Here is a 24,625-nt window from a genome sequence, read left to right on the forward strand (position 1 = left end):
TTTCTTTTCCTGCCTTCCTGCCAGCCTTCCTTCCTTTCTTCCTTTTCTTTTCTTTTTTCTTTCTACATACATTTATTCAGAGTACACTGAGTTACCTGAATTAGGCTCTAGGCTAAATTAAATATGAGAAATTTGTCTTTCATATTTTGGGAGCTTTGAGAGAAGGATTCAAGGTGATATATTGATGGGGAGCTGAGATTGTAAGATGAGAGATGAGTAGGTGGTAGTCTTATGAGGGGCCACTTAAAGAAAGAAAGACAGCAAAAAGATAGGAATATTCCAGACTGAAATAAAGCAACTAAAATGGAGAGCTTGTAGTTTTATTTTGATATTGCTGTTTTGTCTTGTTTTATTTTATTGCAGGAACTGAAAGAGGTGTAGTGCTATTGGATAATAGAGTACATTGTCGTGGTAAGGGAGGATATGGACAGAGAGATTTAAAAAGACGAGATTTGTGTTTGCAATGCCTCCTAGGTCACATTAACAAAGTTGAAATTTATGTGTTGCCACTGAAGGGAATGCAATAAATAGGTGTTATATTTGTTCATTCACTCATTCAAATATATGCATTCAAGGCTTGCTTAGTGTACTATGTGCCAGGTGCTGGTGCATTGGTTAGAAGTTACAGACAGCAGTGAATTTCTCTTTGTCAGGGGCCTTTCCTTCATGGAGCTTATTATCTGGATTGATGGTTTTGAAAGGTCATTTTGGTGTAACATAAATAATAAATTGTAGCAAAGCAAGACCAGATAGAAGGAACTGGAGTAGGAAGCAAACAGAGATGATCGTCTGAGCTAGGGACTCAGGATCTAGCAACAAGGATGTCATTGGTGACAGACAAGAGGATATATTGGGGTAGGAGGCATTTAGATCCAACTTCTTTTTGTAAAGGAAGGAGAGGGTGAAGGGCAGGTACTGTCTATGCTTGTCACTGTATTTTCAGTCCTTGACTACTAATTTAACCTTGACTCTAAAATCACAACATTTGAGAAGTCATTGATTCCAAGCATTCTTGATTTTTAAGAATGTTCTATATCTGTTTAACTCAATAATGGGTGTTGAATTGATGAATTCAGGCCCCTTTTCCCAATATTTTAAATTCATGAATAAATATTATTATTTGGGTAATGAATACCTTGACTTCTTGGACGTTTTCTTTTAATCATTACAGGAATACAGTCATGTTCAATTAAATAGTACATTACATGGTAATGAGTTGTTAGTCACTCCTCCTTTACCACAAATATCTACTAACCTCCTCACAAATTTACATGATCTTTGCCCAAATTGACTGTACTACCACTGCAGTAGCTATTTGTGCATTTATCTTTTGTACTGTGCAACTAATTCTTATATAGACAAATTTGCTCTATACTTGATATGTAAGTACTGGCTCCCCTCACCGTATCTTAAACAAAAGTGTTCAAATATATGTTGTTTGAATTTTCTTCCATACCCTTGAAATAAAAAAGTAAATAAATTCACTCCTTTTTTTCTTAGTATTTAAAATTATATAACTTTATAGAGTTTATGTTTTTAAAATTATATTTTTGGTTTTAGAAAAGTAAATGTCTTCAACAATTTAATAATTTTCTGAATATTAAGGGTAGAATATACTTATAATTTGAAAAGCAATTTATTCATTCACCACACCCTTTAAATAAAAGCATAGGTCCTCTATTTATAACCTCTACTTTAAGGCCCCTCATTTTTTCAAAAAAGATGATAATTGGAGATATGAAAGGTTGTGAGTTTGTATTTTGGAACTGACAGATTCTACTCTTACATTGCTGATAATTTTTAGCATCTCAATGGTTAATTTCTTATTAGCCATAAGATAGCTTATTCATATATTTGATGGAAATCATAGGGATAAACTTGGACATATTCGTGTTTAGCTTTGCATCTGTTAAATTTATTTGTTTTAGTTTGCCTATTTTTTCATCTCAAGTATTATACATTCAATATTTGGTAACACTGTATTATAAATCATGTAGAATAAGTTTGGCAGTTTTAGAGAACAATGTGGAGAATTATTTCTTCAAATGGTCATAGTCTTTTAATAGTCTTGACCAACTTGGCAACATAGCAAGACACTGTGTATGTACATGATGATGATGATAATAATAATAATAATGAAAGCTGGGCATGGTGGTGCTTGCTTGTAGTCCCAGCTACTCAGAAGGCTGAGGTGGGAGGATCACTTGAGCATAGTAATTCAAGGCTGCATTGAACAATGATCATGCCACTGCACTCCATCCTGGGCAACAGAGAGAGAACCTATCTCTCAATAAACAAACAAACAAACAAACAAACAAGTATCATTCATTTTTTGCATTTCATTTTATGTTAGATATTTCAGTATCCTTAAATGTTTATGGCCTCAGTATGCAAACAATTAACATAAACTGATAGGTATCTTAAATGAACAAGCATTTTAAGTTCCTAATAAAAACAAATAAGCATTTAGAACTATTCCTATTTAAGTAAGCCCTCAAAAAACCTAGCCTTTACTATTATAATTTTTATATTGCCTTTAACAGATGAAGGGCAAAGTTAGTGAAATAAGTCAAAGCTTTACATTGGAAAATTTATGAACACATTATAGATACTAAAGGGTAGAGAGGGAATAAAGGTTTTGTTGTTGTTGTTTTGTTTTGTTTTGTTTTTACCTGGAAGGTACTTTTATATGTTCCTCTGGTATTATTTCTATGATAAAAATCTTCCTAGTAAAATATTTTTCTAGTAAAAGGTTTCTATATAATTCAGCCAGGCTTGCCTTACAATTTGTTAAGAGGTGCCTTATGAATGAAACCTATAATTGGTGCCTGTAGTTTATGTCAAAGCCTAATACTTTTTTATTACATAGAAGATTTTAAACATTAATTATATCTATTAAAATGTATTATTTTCCTGCTCAAAAAATTATTTCTGCTTTTAATATCCAAACATGATTGGTCAATGGCATTTCTCCAAAGAAATTGACAGTAGGATTTAAAATTCTATTTCATTTTTTTCCTTATAAAATCTTAATTATATTCTTTTGGTTTTATGAAGGTGGACTATAAAATTGAATGATAAATAAGAAAATTTCACCCTGAGGTATAAAAACTGATATGGAAAAAACAGGTTTTGTTAACTATTCAAACATTATTACTCTACTCTCTACTGCAGACTCTTGAACATAGAGGGTGCTGTTACATTAATGAAGATCATCTTTTCATGCAATGTGGTTCGTAGCTTCTTTTAATGGTAAAACCATTAGTTTCAAGGTATTAAATGACTGCTATTTGTTAGTCATTGTTTTTCTTTATCTCAGTAAGTATCTTTTTCAGAATGCCTAAATGAGGTCTTTTCCATAGGCTTTCATTTGAGATAAGTAAAGATGTGAAAGTGAATGCATGGAAATATTTATGGAAAATATTAGCTTATATGTTAAATACCTCATGAAGTTTCCTAACAGCACCACTCTTAATTTTTAACACATATAATAATATTTCATAAAAAATTCAGTATGAATCACTAAACATTAAATATTAAAAATGATGGAAAGACCAATAACTTTCTTCAGCATTCTGGAAAGGCACACATTTTGTCATATTTATGCTCTAGCATAATGCATATGCAGACTATTATGTTTTGTCTGAGTGATATGCAATAATTCTAGCAACACATAAAGTCGTCCCAGCTAGTTGTCATGTTAATCATTCCTAGAAAAATTATGTTGTTGAAAATATTTTGGTTGTTAAATTGCATTGTTCTTTAATTTTTATCTAGCTGTCTTGAAAACACAGGCAGTATCTAATCCACTAATAGGTCGGGTTACAATTTTTTCTAAAGTGAGATAAATCAGAAGAGAGATACAAAATTCTTAGTTTGGAATAGTATTCACTCTTTTTCTCCCAGTGCTTAACATTTTACTCACTCCTAAATGTTTACTACCTGTGTTACCACCTGAATTGTATTATTTTCCTTTAGCAAAATTCATAAACCGGCCCAGCTTCTGGGACTGAGCCTTAGCATAACAGAATATATTATCAGAATGATTAGACAAGATACAGTTATACAGTTACTGATTATCATCAATTTTCATACAATAGGTATCAGGCAAATAAAATATCTTATAAACAGCACGTGTATCAAGAGCCGTACATGTGTTTGTATCTTTAAACCACTTCAACCTCATTTTCTAGAATGCTTTCTCAAGGTAATGTTCTGAAAAAGTAAAGAATATCTTCATGCAAAAAAAAAAAAAAAAAAAAAAAAACAGATGACTTTTGCAATGCTGGAATCATCCCAAATGATTGTCATGTCCACTCAATGTGATATTATTGAGATATTGAAATAATTAGTTTGTAAATGATCCCAACATTGACTTTTTTTGTATTTTGTTGTTGTTGTTGTTATTTTGTTGTTTTTTTTTTTTTTAATGGAGTCTCACTCTGTCACCCAAGCTGGGGTACAATGGCACAATCTCGTCTCACGGCAACCTCCACCTCCTGGGTTCAAGCCATTCTCCTGCCTCAGCCTCCTGAATAGCTGGGGTTACAGGTGCCCGCCACCCTGCCTGGCTAATTTTTTTGTATTTTCAGTAGAGACAGGGTTTCATTATGTTGGTCAGGCTGGTCTCGAACTCCTGACCTTGTGTTCCGCCCGCCTTGGCCTCCCAAAGTAACATTGACGTTTTCAATGACCTTTGAAATAGAATAGAAAATTGTAGAGCACTCCAGTTAGAATTAATTAAAAAATGTATATTCATAAACATAGAAAATGCACATGAAAGAAATGTAATAGGTGAATGTTGGGCTGGCCAAATTATAAGTGAATTTTTAAGATTCTGTTATTTTGTTATGTTGTATTTCACATATTGTGTTTTTTTGTTGTTTTTACCAAGTTTTACATGGCATAGCAGTTAAGGCATGGATTCTAAAGCTTATTAGCTCAGGTTCCATTTCCAACTGTATTCATCACCAGCTGTGTCACTTTGCTAAACAGTAATCTCTACCTCAGTTTTCTCATCTGTAAAATGGGTATAAAAATGGGATTTTTTAAAATACAATTTCATAGAATTGTTATACAAATTAAATGATGTGGTTTCCAGCAGGATGTTTAAAAGTATGTTTAGACCATAATAAGGGCTTGCTATTGTTATTTTCATGGATTATAATATTAAGGTGATATTTTATAAGAAATACGTTTTCAGTTACCAATGCCTAAATCTTAACCTCTATCCATACACTATTCAAAGAAAAGATGTTACCAAAAGATGACTTTGTATGTGCATGGTGGCCTTTGAGGGGGAGGAAATGAAGGTATAATGACCAGTTAATAATATCCTGCTGTACCGGAATTAAGTTGGAATATTCATTCACATCTTATCTCTGTCTGAGAACTAAGCAGACATCAAAAGTGCCCACCTATTATAATTTTGTCCTTTTGTTCCCTGTCATACTTCAATTATGATGTCCATATATGATATTGTCATATTCTAATAATGAGATATTTGTGCTGTTTTATGTGTTTTTTGATGGGAAGAGATATCAGTTGACAATTTAGAGATTCCATGACTGTAAAGTTAACCTCTTACCTGTCACTGGCAAGATTGCTTTTCATAATAGTTACATGAAAGTCACAGAAATTTCAAATCACTCTGCTTATCTTTTATGACACCTCCCTCAAGCTCCCAGGCCTTTGCCCTACATATAATTGGACACTCTAAGCTTCCCCTATCATGGAACTTAATCTTCCTATCCCACACTTACTGGCCTGCCAGAGGGCCAATATCCTCATTTCATTTAAATCTGCCTATATGCCATCATATTAGAGAGGGTTCCTGGAACCACATGTACTAGAGTAGCATCACCATCCTATAACTCTATATTGCCTAATTTGTTAATTTCTTGACGTAGCAATTATGTAAATGCATATTATATTTATTTAATTGTCATTATATCTATTTAATTGTGTATTTTTGTCTCCCTCTTCTAGAATACAATTCTACTGAAGCATGAGCTTTGTCTCTGTGTTCATTCCTACCCACTCTGAGAATATAAAACTAATCAATCAATAAATGTTAAATAGCCAAATGAACATGACTGAAAAATTTTATTTTAAATGGAGATGAGATTCAAATGATCTTGAAACTATGTAACTTGTAACTAGGTAAACTGGTTTTTTAATAAGTTGCAGTAGCACTAATAGCACTTTCAAATATTTACAGACTATTCACAAGAAAAAATAATTTTGGGTATCTTCCATAAATTACAGAGCAACTGAGAAAGGGCAATGAAAGCATCAAAGTAAAAATAAAAATTAAAAATCTCTTTAAAAACTGAAGAATAATTTTTGTTTCTGTTTTTTAAATGGTGAGTGCATTTAAAAATAGAAAGAAAATGACATTTTACCTAATCTTCATCATAATTTATGTACTTTTTGGATTATCTTATGACCAGACAGGAGTTTCCTGAGTTGAAAGATAATTATATTTTGGTTTATGCAACAACAAGATTTGTCATTTTATGTTTCAGTTAAATTGTGTGCACTGGGCAAATAAACTGAGAAATGCTAATACCCAAATGGCATTATCTTGGAATATCCTAAGTATTCATATTTTATTGTCTTTACTTAGAGTCAAAAAAGGTAACAATTCTCTCTGAGAGAAAACATAATAAATAGCAAAGCTTCAGGGACCATCCTCTTATATTAAGTACCCACTTGACTTTCTGTAAGAAACCATAGTGTCATAATCAGAGAATCTCAAGTATAGAAATACAATTATCAATCTTATTCCACTGATTCACAACATCTCAACTCAAAATAAGCTTTTGTCTCTTAATATGTTATTTTGCTTCATTTCCTATGTACAAGTCCTGTTTCAATCACTAAAGCACTCTTCAGTGCTTGGAATTTTAAATAATTGAATAACTTTTAATGACGAATGAAAATAAAAATAACCTCAAGTTAGTAAATCCTCAGAAATACATTATGAGACCCTGCCCGGAGAATTGACACATATAGTGATCTCCATAAAGACAAGGTTCAGGAGCTCAAAGAGATGGGCTTTGGAGCCAGACCACCCAGATTCAAATCTTGGCCCTCTGACTCACGACATGTGTAACCCTTGACTAGTTACTTAATTGCTTGTGTCTGCATCTCTTTATAAATAAAATGAGGATTCATGGTATCTTTGACATTGAGGTTGTTTTAAGAATTAACTGAAGAGAACATCTGGACCATTATAAACATATGCAAAGTTATTATTTCTATGGGGTTTGCCAGATATTTTTAGAATAATATGTTGTTTTGATCATTTCTGACAGTTCTTTTGAAATATTTCTAGAAAATGGTAGAAAATTCATTAAAATAAATATCTTACATGAGCATTAGTAACTTTTTAAAAATCATTGGTGTGGGAGTCATGAGGTATCTCTACCCTGATCGTGACTTGATAAACTAGCCTTCATTAACTGTTCATAAACGTGATTCATAGTGATATTGGCATGACCACTGTAAATGCTCACTAACAATACTTTATGCCTAATACTGAGAAAAGTGCTTGGAGGAAAGTGATAGAGAACGTAAAGTATGCTTATAACATAGTTATGGTCCCCTAAGAGATATTCTCATGTATAAATATGGGAAAACATCAGAATGTAACTTATTTTTCAGAAGTCAGGCATAGGTTAGTTCAATTAAAATACTAACATTATATTTTGCAATATTTATTCTCTCTTATTAATGAATTTTTAGGTATCTCACCAAAACCAAGAAACTCCCTTATAAAACTTAGTGAGCTGTCCCCTTGGAGAAAAACCATACTTTTACTAATTTTTTTCTTTGGAAAATATTATGGCATCATTGGAATTTCAATCAATGCCTTGATATACAGGCTTTGGTAAATGACTGTGCTGCTAAAAATGGAAAGGGATTGATATAACTAGAATTTGCATTATTTTGGTTCTTCATAATATTTTTTACTCTTAACTCTCATACCTCTCCCTTTCTCTTACATGCACATGCACATACACCACATACACTCATCTGATACAAAGTATGTTAAACAGAGAATTTAAATCATCTATTTATTGAAAGATAAGCCAGGTAAAGAGTAGGTCAGAAAAATGTTGCACTGTATTAGAATCAAACATGAGGCATATTCAGTGCTAGTCTGATGTTTGTCTGAATTAACTACAATGACTAGGGGACCCAGGTTGTATTTGTTAATCATTTTTCCCTCTTTAATTTTGCATTTATGTGTATCTTCCCAATTGGTTATATATTTTTGGAAATTTTTATTTGAATATCAGAATGAGAGTTAACATTGTAATATGCCTTTGCTAGCAATACTCTGCTAGGTAATGTTTGTTGTAACATCTTTGTTTCTGTGAGAAAATCTGATGTATAGTCAGTAAGTAACCTGCTAAAAGTATTTTAAGAGGCGCTTACCCTAGGGCATGTCCTTTGCTTCGCTTAGTATAATTCCATTGCTTATAATTGTTATTATAACTGTTATTAATATAATTGCTTATTATAATTTCATTACTTATCCCTTGGTGAGGATGTGCCCTCACTCCTTCCCCCTGATAATACAAGTCCCATAACTATTTAGCTTTCTGACTTTTAGCAGATAGGTTAGATGACTCAGCTCCATTAAAATATTACTGAAGAGTTGCTCTGCCTCAGGTTTTCTTCTTAGGATTCTTCTAAAATATATTTAACCATAAAAAATAAAAGCAAAAATTGTGAAGACAAAACTGGAAAAACCTAAAGTTAACCATTATATACATAGCTTGCACAGCACCATTTCCATTTTTTTGTTTTTCAAGCTTATTTCTGTATTAGAATATGTGCACCTAGAGGCTTAAGCTGTGTACTTGCTATGAGATCACATTTACGGAGCATGATATTTATCTTCAGAAACCAAAATAAAATAAAAAATATTCAAGATAAAGCATAAAGTGGTTAATTATAATGTAATATTAAGACCTTAAATGTTATAATAATGCAAGTATTTATGTTTTATTCTGTATAGGTTACTCAATATGAACAGATTATATAGTTTAGCATTGGACCTGGGGAAGTTTTCTCATATAAAAAAATCATGAAACATAATTATTGATATAAGCAATAAAATTATACCTGACTAAAGTAAGCAAAAATAACACATTAAAAGACCATTGGCAGCAAAAAGAATCGTTGAAGAGCCTGATGGATGAGGCTCAAAAACATGAAGACAGAGTCATATCCAACAGCATGATACAAACAAGTAGATCTGCTTATTCAAGGTTGAGGACTAGATGTCACAACTTGTGCCCTAGCTGTGACCATTCTGATTTGTTCACTGGAGTATCCAACTGTCACTGATGCAAGCTGCTGATGTCACTGATGCACTAATCCAGGCACTACTGCCTTTGGAAATGAAGTGATACTGCCACGGTTGAAGGTCCTGCCAGAAATGACTTCCTTAGCAACTTCTTTTATGATTAGGGCAGCTATATGTGTTTGGCTGAATCTAGAGCATATGTCTATGCTCTTGAAGCAACATACACCAGGAAAATAAATATTTCGCATGTTCTGCTTCTTCTTGGCATTATTTCCCCCCTAATGAGTATAAAACATGTGGCATCCAATCTAAAAAATGCCATCTCCTCTGTGTATGTATCTATCCTTTTGTGGTATCTTCCCCTCAAATCTGGTTGGCACTGTAACTCACTCTTGACCAACAGGATGTGGTGGAGGCAAGGTCAGAAAATTTCTTACTGCTGTCACATGGGTCTTTTGGGACATTCACCCTTGAGTTACTTACTTTAAAACCCAACCACCACACATTGATGAACATGAGAAGCCATGTGTGGAATCTGGTTGACAGCCTTGGTTGAACTTTCAGTTAACAGTCTCAACTCTCAGCCATGTGAGTGAGCCATCTTAGGTCCCATGCCCACTCAAACTTTAAGACTCTCCAGTTCTCAGCTGACATATGACTTCAACCCCTTGAGGGACCATAAACAAGAACTAATCAAATGAACCCAGGAAGCCCACAGAATTCATGGACATGCGAGGTCATAATAAATTGCTGTTTAAGTCACTTCATTTTGAGATTGTTTGTTAGGTAGTACTAGTTATAATAAAAAGTAGAGAATTCTGCAAATGTAGGAATGTTTGCAGGACTCTGCAGAAGAGGACAAAGAGAGGGTAAGTGAGAGAGGAAAAAGAAGGAGAAGAAGAGGAAGAGAAGGAGGAAAATAAATAAATTTAAATTTTCAGTACAAATTTACAAATTCTCCCTTGTCTGTATTTCATTCAATCCATTGTATGTAGACTTAATAATAACTTTTAAAAACACTACCATTTCTTGAGTGAAAAGGATTGTACTAGATATCTTGCCTTACACCTCTTTATTTTTCTTGACTGTTTGTATGCCACAATTTTTTGAAGTATACAATTATATTTTATAAAATAAAAAAACAGATTCAGAGAAGATAAAGAATTTTCCTCAGACACAGCTAATGGTTACCAGAAATGAGTTATGAACTAAAATCTTTCTGAATCCAAAGGCAAAGTTTAACTTTATCAGATTGCAAAACTTTCCTTTTTTTCTGTTATTTGATAGCCTGAAATTGGCTCAGTAATTTTGCTTATGTATTTCAAAGGAAAAGATGCAACACACAACAGTTCTGAATTGACTAGAATTGCCCATGTGATTTTGAGAAGACAACAGCAATACCTGGTCATCTATATTAGCAATTATGTGTCTAGTTTCATGAACGAGGCTTCTGGTGAAGTTCTCTACACCAAATTATTTACTTTGAAATACGCTTCACTAATTAGTGCTTCTGTCAGTATATGCCTTCAGAGCCATTCTGAAGACATGCAAACCACCCACTTATCCGTAAGCTGTGCCCGGCAACCTAAGGATTTAGATATAAACATAACGGTGAATTGTGGGATAAGGGCAGAGTGGGCAAGATGGTTCACAGTCACTATTCATTTATAAAAACCAAAGTAGTGGGAGAATTATTTGATATTTTTAATTGGCATGTAAAAGTTAATGATTATGGAGTCACAATTAAACTGTTACTAAAATAAACTGATCTATTTATAATGAATCTTTGTTTTGGCATTACTGCTAGCCAGTTGCTGTAACAGGTCAGTTATAACAATGAATATGTACAAACACATTATTTCCTAAGGGCATGCTAAGCTACAATCAAAACAGGCATCTATCATCATGTATTATAGTTGAATAGCAATTAAATAAGCCATGATACATTTTCTGATTTGCCTTCCGAATTACTCAATTTTTCATAAACTATGTAAGTCAGAAACAGTGCTAAAATAAGAAACCCAAGTGTATTAACATTTGCAAAACTTTTGTGGATAGTTAATAAAATTCCCTTATGATCTAAAGAGAATGTAAAATTATATATTGGAGTAGTTTAACATTTTGTTATGAAATGTGCATTTTTTTGAAGTTCCAAAATACAGATTTTTTTCTGGAAAGAAAGAATGCATTTTTAATCCTAAATTATCAGGCAATATATTGTAACTAAAAATTAAAATAAAATTATCAATTTTATTGAGTGTATCAAGTTTACAATGACTGTCTCATTATTTGGGAACGACTGACTCATTATTCTAGAGAAAACCTTGACATTGGCACACAAATTGTATTATTTAATTTCCCCAGACTTACAAATGTCTTTTTTGGATCCCACTCCCCTATCTATTTATTGTTCTATCCTTCCTTCGTTCCTTCGTTCCTTCCTTCCTTCCTTCCTTCTTTCTTTCTTTTTTTTTCGGAGTCTTGCTCTGTCACCCAGACTGGAGTGCAGTGGCATGATCTTGGCTCACTCCAACCTCCGCCTCCTGGGTTCAAGCGATTATCCTGCCTCAGCCTCCTGAGTAGCTGGGACTACAGGCGTGCACCAGCACGTCCAGCTAATTTTTACATTTTTAGTAGAGAAGGGGTTTCACCATGTTGGTCAGGCTGGTCTCGAACTCCTGACATCGTGATCTACCTGCCTTGGCCTCCCAAAGTGCTGGGATTACAGGCATGAGCCACTGTGCCTGGCCATTGTTCTACATTTTTGTGATTGGTGCTACCTTCTTGAAACATTTTCTTCTGTCAGCACACCACCATCTCTTTGATTCTCTTCTTTCCCACTCATTGCTCCTCAACAGTTCCATTTGATGTTTTCTCCCCATTTTCCAGACTTCTAAAACTCAGAGTGCTCTAAAAACAATACCAAACAATATGACTGCTGAGTCCCTTCACCAAGACAGGACTCTGAAGCTCATCTGCCACTACTCCTTAAGCCCATAGAGAATAACCAGACGTATGCTTGGCCTTCCCCCATACACATTCTTTGACAGACAAACCTGTTCCAGAGGAAAATGAGCCCATAAACCAAACTAACAAGAAATTTGAAGACCACCTTTATTTTCATAGATAACAAAAAATGCACTGTATTACACACATTGTATCAAGAACAGATATATCAATATTAAAAAGTTCTAGAATTTTATTCATTTAATAATCATAGTAACTTACGTAAGAAAGTATATTGTCATGAAAACATTAAAAAGCCAGTTATAATACTAGATATGGAAATATGTGAGAATTAAAGCACATATTTAAATAGATAGAATAGATACAGCTGAGGGATGAATTAGAAAAAATCAGAATCAAAAGCCTCATAGAAGAAAGATTTGTCTGTTTGTGTTGCTATAAAGGAATACCTGAGGGATGGTTATTTATAAAGAAAAGAGATTTATTTAGCTTATGATTCTTAAGTCAGGAAAAGTTCAAAATTGGGCATCTGTATCTGGTGAGGGACACAAACTTCTTCCACTCATGGTGAAAGGCAGGGAGCCAGTGTGTGCAGAGATCACATGATGAGAAAGGAAACAGAAGAGAGGAGGGGAGATACCAGCTTTTTTTAACAACCACCTCTCATGGACTGTAATAAGGTGGACATTCACTCATTACTGTGAGAATGGCACCAAGTGATTCATGAGGGATTTGCCCCCAAACCCAAACACCTGTCACTGGGCCCCATCCCAACACTGCTACACTGGAGATTAAATTCCAACAAGAGATTTGGAGCAGCCAAACAAACCATATCCAAACTATAGCAGCAACATCCCAAGAACAAGAAAATACAAAGGAGATGAAGAATAAAGGTGGAAATGTAACATGTGGGTAACAGGAATTTCAGAAGAACTGAAAGATAAAGATGAAGAAGAAAAAATATTTGAAAAAACAATAGACATAAATGTATTGAAATTTTAAAAAATAAAATGATAAAATATCTTGATATTGAAAGGGTTATGAATTGCCAAAAAGGAGAAATAAAAAAACACACAGTTCTAGATATATGAGGAAATTTAATGTACAAAGACAAACAGAAAATATTGCAGGGAGGAAAAGAAGATTAGAGACAAAAAGAGCAAGATGAAGGAGAGGGCGATATCATACTGAAAGGGCAAAAGCTGGAAGCATTTCCCTTGAGATGGGCAATCAAATCTTAAAGCTCCAAAGTGATTTCCTTTGACTACGTGTCTCACATCCAGCTCACACTGATACAAGAGGTGAGTTCCCATGGTCTTGGATAGCTCTGACCCTGTGGCTCTGCAGTGTACAGTCTCCCTCCTTGATGAGGTCATGGGCTGGCATTGAGTGTCTGCAGCATTTCCAGGTGCACAGTGCAAATTGTCATTGGATCTACCATTTCCGGAGTCTGGAGAATGGTGGCCCTCTTCTCACAGCTCTACTAGGCAGCACCCCAGTTGGGAATCTGTGTTGCGGCTCTGACCCAATATTTCCCTTCTGCACTGCCATAGCAGAGGTTCGCCATGAGGGCTCTGTCCTTGAAACAAACTTTTGCCTGGACATCCAGGTGTTTCCATACATCCTCTGAAATCTAGGTAGAGATTCCCAAACCTCAATGAGAGGTCACTGAAGGATATTAAGCCAGGTCACTAAATGATCAGATTTTTATTTGGAAAAAAACCTTAAGAAAATAAATAAATCTTACTTATCCACAGCCTCTAGTATGACTCATGGTATACAAAAGTCAACTCAAAATAGATTAAATACTTAAATATAAAGCCTAAAACTATAAAAACCCTAAAAATATACTAGGAAAAAACCATTCTGGACATCAACCCTGGCAAAGATTTCATTATGAAGACTCCAAAAGCAATTGCAACAAAACAAAAATGGACAAAGGTGATCTAATTAAACTAAAGAACTTCTGCACAGAAAAGAAACTATCAACATAGTAAACAACCTACGAAATGGGAGAAAATATTTGCAAACTCTGTATCCAACAAAGGTCTCATATCCAGAATTTATAAGGAACTTAAACAAATCAACAAGCAAAAAACAAAAAATGCCATTAGAAAGCGGACAAACGACAAGAGCAGACACTTTCCAAAAGAAGACATACATATGACCAATAAGCATATGAAAAAATGCTCAACATCAGTAATCATTAGAGAAATGCAAATCAAAACCACAATGAGTTACCATCTCACACCAGTTAGAATCACTATTATTAAAATTTTAAAAATAACAGATGCTGATGAGGTTGCAGAGGAAAAGGAACACTTATAAACTGTTGGTGGGAAGAAAAATTATTTCAGCCACTATGGAAAGCACTTTGGAGGCTTCTCAAAGATTTTGAAACAGAACCACCATTTGACAACAATTGTAGTACTAGGTATATACTCAAAGGAAAATAAATCATTTTACCATAAAGACACATGCATGTGTATGTTCATTGCAGCACAATTCACAACAGCAAAGACATAGAATCAATCTAGATGTCAAACAGTGGTGGACTGGATAAAGGAAATGTGGTACATATATACCATGGAATACTATGTAGCCATAAAAAAGAGCAAAATCATGTCCTTCACAGCAACATGGATGCAGCTGGAGGCCATTTTCTTAAACAAATCAATACAAGAACAGAAAATCAAATACCATATGTTCTTACTTATAAGTTGGAGCTAAACATTGAGTACACACAAACACCAAGAAGGGAACAACAGACACTGGGGCCTACTTGAGGGTGCAGGGTTGGGGGAAGGTGAGGATTAAAAGACTGCCTATCAGATACTGTGCTCACCAACTGGGTGATAAAATAATTTGTACATGAAAGCACAGTGACTTGCAATTTACCCATGTAACAAACCTGTGTATGTACCCCAGAACCTAAAATAAAATTTGAAAGGGAAAAAAAGAAAGAAGATTGACAATAACTTACAAAAACTGTATGAAAGAAGATGATACAATTATATTTCTAGAGTTTGAAAAAAAAACTTAGAATTTTATATCTAGCAAATTGTCATTTAAACAGAGGGCATGAAATATATTCTTAGTTACGTAAGTCTTCAGAAGCTTTGTTACATGAGAACCACCTTGAACAGAGCTATGTATAAAGTACATAAATACCAGCAGACATGGATTAAGGAGCTATCTGAAGAAAATCTGAGCAGATATCTTACAAACATTTGTCACTATCTTAAAACATGTATCTCTATATTTATTTATTTAAATTAATCTATTATCTATCTAATTAATTTTATCTATTTATCATCTTTCATAACCTAGTCTTATAAATCTATGCAATATTAATAATGAAGTTGGGAAGTTATCAAGAGTTTTAATAATGTGGTGAAGTTATTTTATTCTTAAGTTGAAAGTAAAAGTACTGTTTTATTTTTAAGGAAGGAAGGATTAAAATAAACAAAAGACCAGAATAAGCTGATATAACAAAATATGTTACTGAAGCAGATCTAAATAATTAATAGAAATGTACTAAGCTGGTCAGTTAAAAGGAAAAAATTGGCAAACTGAATACTTCCTTGTGATGCTATCATTTAGCTTCTGGGCTTGACATTCATTTAAATATTAATTCATCTGTATTTAAATAAATGAGATAAATCTGACTCCCAGGTTGATCTTTCCACCTCAAACTTATTCCCGGAGCTTTATAGTCATATACACAATTACCTGCTCAACAGCAACAATATTGAATATTCCCTTCTTAGAAAGAGTTAATGGGATTTTAATCTGGGGGAGGCCCATGAAGGTTTCCTAAATAAACTGTCATTTGTAGTCAACTATAAAGAATAAATACAGGGAAACAAGTTGAAGTGGGAGCAGGGAGTTTTTGGAGGAAAAGGAAGAGACTCAGCAAAGGCTCTGAGACAGGAAGGAGGCTATCACATTTGATGAAATGAAAGGCCACGTGGCCAGACCTGAGAACACCGAAGGAAGGTGATTCAAGCAAGGCCTTGTATATGGATAGAGCAAGGATCTTCCAGAGTCTTTTAAACCTTGTGAAAGATTTTGATCATTATCTCAATGAGAGGTCAATGAAGGACACTAAACCAGGTCAGTAAATGATCAGATTTTTATTTGGAAAAGAACCTTAAGAAAATAAATTAAATCTTACTTATCTACAACATCTAGTATGACTCATGGTATACAGCAGAGGTCTAACAATTTTCTTTAAATGTATGTGAGATTATTCAGAGCTATATTGTTAATTATCAGATTTTAAGAATTTCATTATTATTGTCTAATACTGGAAAGTAGCTTTTCCATCAATTCTGTAAAATTGTATTGCTTCATGCAAACACCTCCTCCTTTTATATTATTTTAGATATGTTGTGAGTTAGCAATGAGCTGTATTTTTCGAGTCATAATTTATCCATTTAATATAAACTTGAAAAGGTAGAGTGGATTTACTGAGGGTTGTGAATATCTAATGAGCGCTTAAAGTCTGGTTCATGTTATGTGACTACGTAGAAGTTCAAAACCCATTTTTGACTCAGTTTCAGTTCAGTGCAGTGGGCTACTAATTGAAATTAAAAAGAAAAAAATATTTTTACACATGGCTGGCAAACCAAATCTGCTGAGGTTTTATACAAGTGTAGCTTGCTTTTGTCTGCTATTTAATTAACCAGTTCACAAATAAAATGTCCTTAGTTTAATTTCCATTTCGTAGCTCAATACTGTAAACTATTCACAGCGTAATTAAAAGTCCTGAATTCTCCCAGGAATGATATTACCAGTAAGCAACCAACCCATGAAATAGAGAAGCCTGACTGTTACTCTGCTAAATTGTGTGTGTTAATAAAGCTGAACAAGTGTTCTTTGCTTAATCTGACTGAGCTGAGAAAACTCCAGCTGGCATCCAAGCTACCTGCTTTTAAAACTCTCCAAGCGTCTAGCTCCAGGAGAGCTTCATTAAAGTTAATATAGGAATTGTGTCATATTTTATTGAATTTCATCGATTTTCTTTGTGAAATAACTTACTTTCTGATAATGCAAACTCACTGCAATGCCACCAAGTATAGTTATTTTCGTTTTATGTTTGTTGTTTACTTTGAACACCCAGAGTAAAAATAAACACACTAAGGTTTTAAAAAGAAAAAACAGAAAAATTATTTAGGAAAAAATAATTCATATGATGTTTAAGATATTCATATAACGTATAGTTTTAAAACTAAATTCTGTCTATTATCTTGATAGTTATTACTCAAAGAATCAATAATTTGAACACTTAGCTCAAATAACCATGCATTGTAGATGATGCTATTTCAGTCCTATGCAAAGAGTCTGATCACTGCATGGTGAATACATTCACCAATTGCTTTGCCAGTCACATTGAAGAGAGGAAAAACATAGAATAGCGTATTGCTACAATGTTTGTATAATCATTCTGTGTACCCTGGCTGTCCTCCTGAAAGTCAAATATTTTCAGAAACCTAGGCTATTACTTGTTACTTTGATATTTTGATGTGATGCATTAAAAATGTTTTATGGTTTGGATTAAATCTAGGTTTTATGAATGATGCTCCTTCACTCGAATTACCCCTATGCATGATCATTTTGTAGATAAATAGAAAACAGAAAAGTTTGGCCTTATTTTATTTTCAGAAAGATTGCACATTTCTTTAATTGTCAAATCCAAACTGATCTCACACTTGAAAAATTATCACTTGAATAGCACACATTTATTCAGAGTGATAGGGTGAATGTTATGTGCAGAATACTAGTGACTGTGAATGAAGGAGAGAATGAGTGTTGGGCTGTATTTCATAAATGTTTCCTTGGCAGGTGACAATGAGGAGCCAGTGCTATTGATTTTGATGCTGACTTGCATGTTGCATATTTAAAGAAATTCAATATTAGAATTGATTTAGGTTAAACAACTAAGTATGCACAGTAGACCCTCACAATCATCAGATTCACAGAAGGCTAAAATGACCATGTAGAGATTTCTGAGTTCGGCTTAGAAACTATGTATTCAAATAGCTATAAAAGTTTCAGGGGAAAAGCTCTGTAATATCCTTTGATAACTAAACCTGGTACTAGTGTTTTAGAGAAATGTTTCCCCATAAACATTTTCATAATTTTATTTATATGTTGACCTGAACGGAAATGTAAAACCATGTTCTGAAGTTAGTATCCCTTCCAGTAGGTGAGCTATGAGTAAGTTTTTCCTTCTCTAGGCTAGATTAGGAGCCAAACTGCATCCAAATTTGTGTATGGGAGTCGATTTATTAAACATGCCTTTGCTGTTGTTGTTAATGTCTAGATTGTGTTTTGGAAGAGGATGACACTTACAAAAATTGGGTTATAATACTATCAGTTCAGCACCTGCTTTATATATGTATTAGTAGATTAGTATCCCTTGCAGACTTTTGAATATATGTCCCTGGATAACATGGTCTCAGTTTTCTGTGTCTACTTCTTTTTTGTAAAAAATACTATAGTATTGAAACTTGTGGAACTAGCTTCTCTCACTTAAAAAGCAGATGAGTTTCATCCAAATTTTTGCATTGGTCAATAGTGCATTCTTTTTTATTGCTGAGAAGTATGCCACTGTATGGTTATAGTATATTTTGTTTATCCATTTACCTTTTGAAGAACATCTAAATTGGCATCAGGTTTTGTTGATATGAATGACTACTATAAAATTATGGAGATAGATAGATAATAGATTTTGGTTTGGGGAAAGAAGTGGAGAAAATAAGTTGTCAATCCATTTGGATAAATGCCTAAGGTGAGAATGCTGGGTCTTATGGTAATTTGGTAATAAATTTTACTCCTAGGTAGATTTCCAAAATAGTTGTATTATTCTGCATTACCACTAGAAATGGATGAGAGTTCCAATTGTCCAACTTCCTCATCAGCTATTAGTATTTTTTTATTTTAGCCATTCTAATAGACGTATAGTAGTATCTTATTGTGTTTTTAATTTGCATTCCCATAGTGACTAATGATGTTGAACATCTTTTCATATTCATATTTACCATCTGTTTTTCTTCTGTTGGTGAACTGACTTTACAGATGTTTTCTTATTTTTTTAAAATAATAATTTTCTCATTGTGAATTTTAAGAGTTCTTCACATATTTTGAGGAAAAAATGCCCTTTATCATATGTGAGATATGCAGTTATTTTCTCCCAAACTGTGGCTTATCTTTTAATTCTCTTAATAATGTCTCCAGGAGCCAAATTTTAAATATTGATTAAATGGCATTTATCATTTTTTATGGATCATGTTTTTGGTGTGGTATCAAAATATTGTTTGTGAAACACAACCTCCCATAATCGATCTCCCAAAACAGATCTATTTTGCTTACAAAACAGATATATTAGTGTTAGAATATAGCCTAAATATTCAGTACATGGAATAAAGATGCAGGACTAGAGGAAAAAATAGAGTTAATGAGCATATAGCTAATGACTTATAGAATTTACAAGCAGATGTGTTAAATAGGAAATCGGACTTTAACATATATTTCTAAGTTAGAAAGATAGACTTGAGTAACAATTTATATAGGTATACATTGAGACCATTAGTGTTTGGGTGGTCACCATGAAAGTAGACAGATGAAGAAGAATGGACCATCTAGGATTGGGATCTCTATACGAAGTGAAAGCAAAAAAATGTTGAGTCTATTACTGAGAAAGAGAAATAATAAACAATGGGTGAGTGAAAAATCAGGGACACATGATTTTCTAGAAGGCAAGAGGGAATATTTTAAGTATTAGTTAAGAACTATAGGTAAAAGTAATAAATCCTTCAAAACTGCTATGTCAGATAAAGATTGAAGAGATACATTTCAAACCAAAAACTTAGATACTAATTTTGTTTATTTTATTTAAAAAATTACATTGAGCTTCCTACTAGTTTTCTGGCTGCTGAAAATCTCTATATAGGTAATTCTTATCCACATTGCAGGACTGTGTCAAACTACTGTCATATTGGCCATCAGCTTTTAGAGAAAAAAAAGCCAAATTGTCTCTCGCTGATGTTTTTAGATTTATTGATAATGGCACTGAGGTTATATGAGGCACACCCATAAGTATTTATACAGAACAAGAGAATAAACACTTCCCTCTCCCTCATGACTCACCTCACTAAAACCTCTCACCATCTTCTCTCTATCATTACCATGATTTGACGTTTTTATCATGTCTTCAACAGTCTGTTGTAAAAGCATATTAATATCTTTTTCACTTCTAGTATTTCTGTTGCAATCTATTTCCATTCTTCTGCCAGGATTCTTTATAAACACAAATCTGCCCTCTCACCTAATTAAAGACCTTTAATGACTCACCAAGTATTTCCAATCCTCTTTGTAGCATGGATCCAATTTGCCATTCTAGCCCTTTCTCATACCATAGTCTTTCAGTAATCCCTAGATACCCATAACTTTGAATTGTTACTTATGGTTTCCAAAATATTTTATGCTTTTTTATATTTTCAACGCTGTATAAACGTCCTTTACATTGCTTTGCATTTTATAGATTTGAGAGTCAGGTAGATTTGGGTTTGAATACTGGATTCAATACTATATATATTTCAAATTAGAAAAACTTTATTGCTAATCCTTTAATGATCATTGTATTACACATCAAAGTTAATTCAGAAAATTCCCAGTTATATAGTCATATACACTCAACTCTAGGCATCTGCATGAAGAATAATTTCAGATTTGTTTAAGTTTACTTTGGGCACAGTATGTGTCTCCAACCATTGTGGTACCATTTTACCATTTAAAATGGTATAAAATTACCATTTAAACATCCTGCTTTTAAATGGTAATTTGGAATAAACTATGATAAAATGGCAATTTAAAACACAAAGAAGCAGAACTCAAGTTTCTGCAATCCTTCTATGTGATCACTTGAATGTAAAAACAAATTCTGCATTGTATTGAGAGTTGGATTTTTATTTAAACCAAACACATTCTTTATTTATAAGATTTTCCCTTTGGGTATATCTTTTATTTACGTTAAAAAAGTTTTCAAAAGTAAAGTTTATAAAATCATTCTTTGATCAACTACACATGAAAGCAGATTGAAAAATTTGGGTGTACAATCTTTGAAAATGAATATTCAAAGAAAAATTTTGATAAAGCCATTGACGACTTCACAAACTGAAGGCTTGAAAACAGAAATATAATACTATTATTAGCCTGATGGTTTTAAGTATACATATGTTTCCTTTATTTAAAAATATATTAATAAAATTATTAGCACATCATTTTTCCTTTTTTGTAATGGTAATTTCTCTATTTCCTATTTTATTTATTTTTACTAGCATGATTATATTTTTGAAGTATAATAAAACACTTTTACTTCTGTGTTTCATTTTTGACCACTTTGATTTCATTTCATATAGATTAGTATTTGAAACAATTTCGTCATATAGAGGAACATTTATTCAGCTTTATTAACAGGTTTTTAGGTCCCTAAATTTGAGTTTATTGCCAATAGCTCTTACTGTGCAGTTTTCTTTTTTTAATTCAATTTTCTTTTTATCTCAGTATAGGTGGTGATATGGTTGGGCTGTGTCCACGCCCAAATCACATCTTAAATTGTAATCCCATAATTCCCACATGTAGTGGGAGGAACCAGGTTGGAGGTGATTGAATTATGGGGGTGGCTCTTTTCTATGTTGTTCTCATAATGAATGACTCTCATGAGATCTGATGGTTTTAAAAACAGGAGTTTCCCTGCACAAGCTCTCTGCTCTTGTCTGCTGCCATACAAGATGTGCCTTTCACCTTCTGCCCTGATTGTGAGGCCTCCCAAGCCATGTGGAACTGTAAGTCCAATAAACCTCTTTCTTTTGTAAATTGCCCAGTCTTGGGTATGCTTTTATAAGCAGCGTGAAAACAGACTAATACAGTAAATTGGTAATAGTAGAGGAGGCATTGCTGAAAAGATACCTGAAAATGTGGAAGTGACATTGGAACTGGGTAGCAGGCAGAGGTTGGGACAGTTTGGAAGGCTCAGAAGAAGACAGGAAATTATGGGGAAGTTTGGAACTGCCTAGAGAGTTACGAGTTATGGAATGGCTTTGCCCAAGATGCTGACAGTGATATGGACAATAAACTCCAAGCTGAGGTTGTCTCAGATGGAAATGTGAGGCTTGCTGGTAACTGGAGCAAAGGTGACTCTTGTTATATTGTATCAAAGAGATTGGTGGCATTTTGCCCCTGCCCTAGAGAGTTGTAATATTTTTAACTTGAGAGAGATGATTTAGGGTATCATGCAGAAGAAATTTCTAAGCAGCAAAACATTCAAGATGTGACTTGGGTGCTATTAAAGGCATTCAGTTTTATAAGGGAAGCAGAGCATAAAAGTTTATAAAATTTGCAGCCTGACAATGTGATACAAAAGAAAATCCCGTTTTCTAAGGAGAAATTCAAGCCAACTGCAGAAATTTGCATAACTAACGAGAAGCTAAATGTTAATCCCCAAGACAGCGGTAAAGGTCTCCAGGGCATGTCAGAGGTATTCATGACAGCCCCTGTCATTACAGGCCCAAAGGCCTAAAATAAAAATGTGGTTTTGTGGGCCAGGCCAAGGGTCTGTGTGCTATGTGCAGTCTAGGGACTTGGTGTTATATGTTTCAGCCACTCCAGCTGTGGCTGAAAGGGGCCAAGGTAGAGCTCAGGCCATGGCTTCAGAGGGTGCAAGCCTCAAGCCTTGCCAGCTTCCACGTGGTGTTGAGCCTGCAAGTGCATGGAAGTCAAGCATTGAGGTTTGGGAGCCTCTGCATAGATTTCAGAGGATGAATGGAAATGCCTGGATGTCCAGGCAGAAGTTTGCTGCAGGGGGGTGCTCTCATGAAGAACTTCTGCTAGGGCAGTGCAGAAGGGAAATGTGGGGTCGGAGCCCCACACAGAGTCCCTACTGGGGCTCTGCCTAGTGGAGTTGTGAGGAGAGGGCCCCAAACTACAGAATGTTAGATCCACTGACAGCTTGCACTGTTTACCTGGAAAAGCTGCAGACCCTCAATGCCAGCCCATGAAAGCAGCTGAGAGGGAGGTAGCACCCTGCAGAGGCACAGGGGCAGAGCTGCCCAAGACCATAGGAAACCACCTCTTGCATCAGCATGACATGGATGTGAGATGTGGAGTCAAAGTAGATCATTTTGAAGCTTTAAGATTTGACTGCCCCTCTGAATTTTGGACCTACATGGAATCTGTAGCCCTTTTGTTTTGGCCAATTTCTTCAATTTGGAACAGCTGTATTTACCCAATGCCTATAACCCCATTGTATCTAGCAAGTAACTAACTTGCTTTTGATTTTACAGGCTCATAGGTGGAAGGGATTTGCCTTGTCTCAGAAGAGACGTTGGACTGGGGACTTTTGCAATAATGCTGAAATGAGTTAAGATTTTGGAGGACCATTGGAAAGGCATGATTGGTTTTGAAATGTCAGAACATGAGATTTGGGAGGGGCCAGAGGTGAAATGATATGGTTTGGCTTTGTCCCTACCCAAATGTCATCTTGAATTATAACTCCCACAATTCCCATGTGTCATGGGAAGAACCCGGTGGGAGGTAATTTAATTATGGGGGTGGGTCTTTCTTGCACAGTTTTTGTGATAGTGAATGAGTCTCACGAGATCTGATTTTTTTTAAAAACAGGAGTTTCCCTGCACAAGCTCTCTTCTCTTGTCTGCTACCATATGAAACATGCCTTTCACCTTCCGCTACAATTGTGAGGCCTCCCCAGCCATGTGGAGCTGTAAGTTCAATAAACCTCCTTCTTTTGTAAATTGCTCAGACTTGGGTATGTCTTTATCAGCAGCATGAAAATGGACTAATACAGGTGGTTTGTTTTTTAATCTCTTTTCTAATCAAGAAAATTTTTCAAATGTATTTCATACTATATGATTAATCTGACATTTCATACTTTCAACATTTATGTTAATTGTGTGGGATAATACCTTATAGATAACTTGTATAGTTATTTCTGATTTATGTATAAAAGAGTGTCTAATTTAAAGACAAACAAAACTTTCCAAATAAAGAAACCATGCTTTCCTTTTTTTCCTAAAAAAAAGCAAACTTTTTTTTACCAAGTTAAACAAAGCTGAACATGACAAAAAAGCCTTACATTTTCAATGTCAACAGCCCATTTTACCTATGCAATTTTCACAAAACTAAGTACTCCTTAAATAAATGTAGTTTGAAACTGTTTGTTTACGAAATCTTGCTTGTAGTATTTAACAACTGAACTAAATATTACATATTCATTCTGTGGAGAAAATGTCTGTTCATGTAAAACGGAAAGAA

General features: G+C 34.2%; 1 long non-coding RNA gene across 1 annotated transcript; it reads left to right on the forward strand.

Moving 5' to 3' along the window:
- The first annotated feature begins 16,254 nt into the window (after positions 1–16,254).
- On the forward strand, positions 16,255–24,105 carry LOC124903070 (uncharacterized). The gene is made up of 2 exons (XR_007063565.1): positions 16,255–16,405; positions 22,041–24,105. It is a non-coding gene; the product is annotated as an uncharacterized LOC124903070 (long non-coding RNA).
- Positions 24,106–24,625: the final 520 nt, after the last annotated feature.

This window comes from Homo sapiens, chromosome 12 (genome assembly GCF_000001405.40).
Source record: "Homo sapiens chromosome 12, GRCh38.p14 Primary Assembly".
NCBI classification, from domain to species: Eukaryota; Metazoa; Chordata; class Mammalia; order Primates; family Hominidae; genus Homo; species Homo sapiens.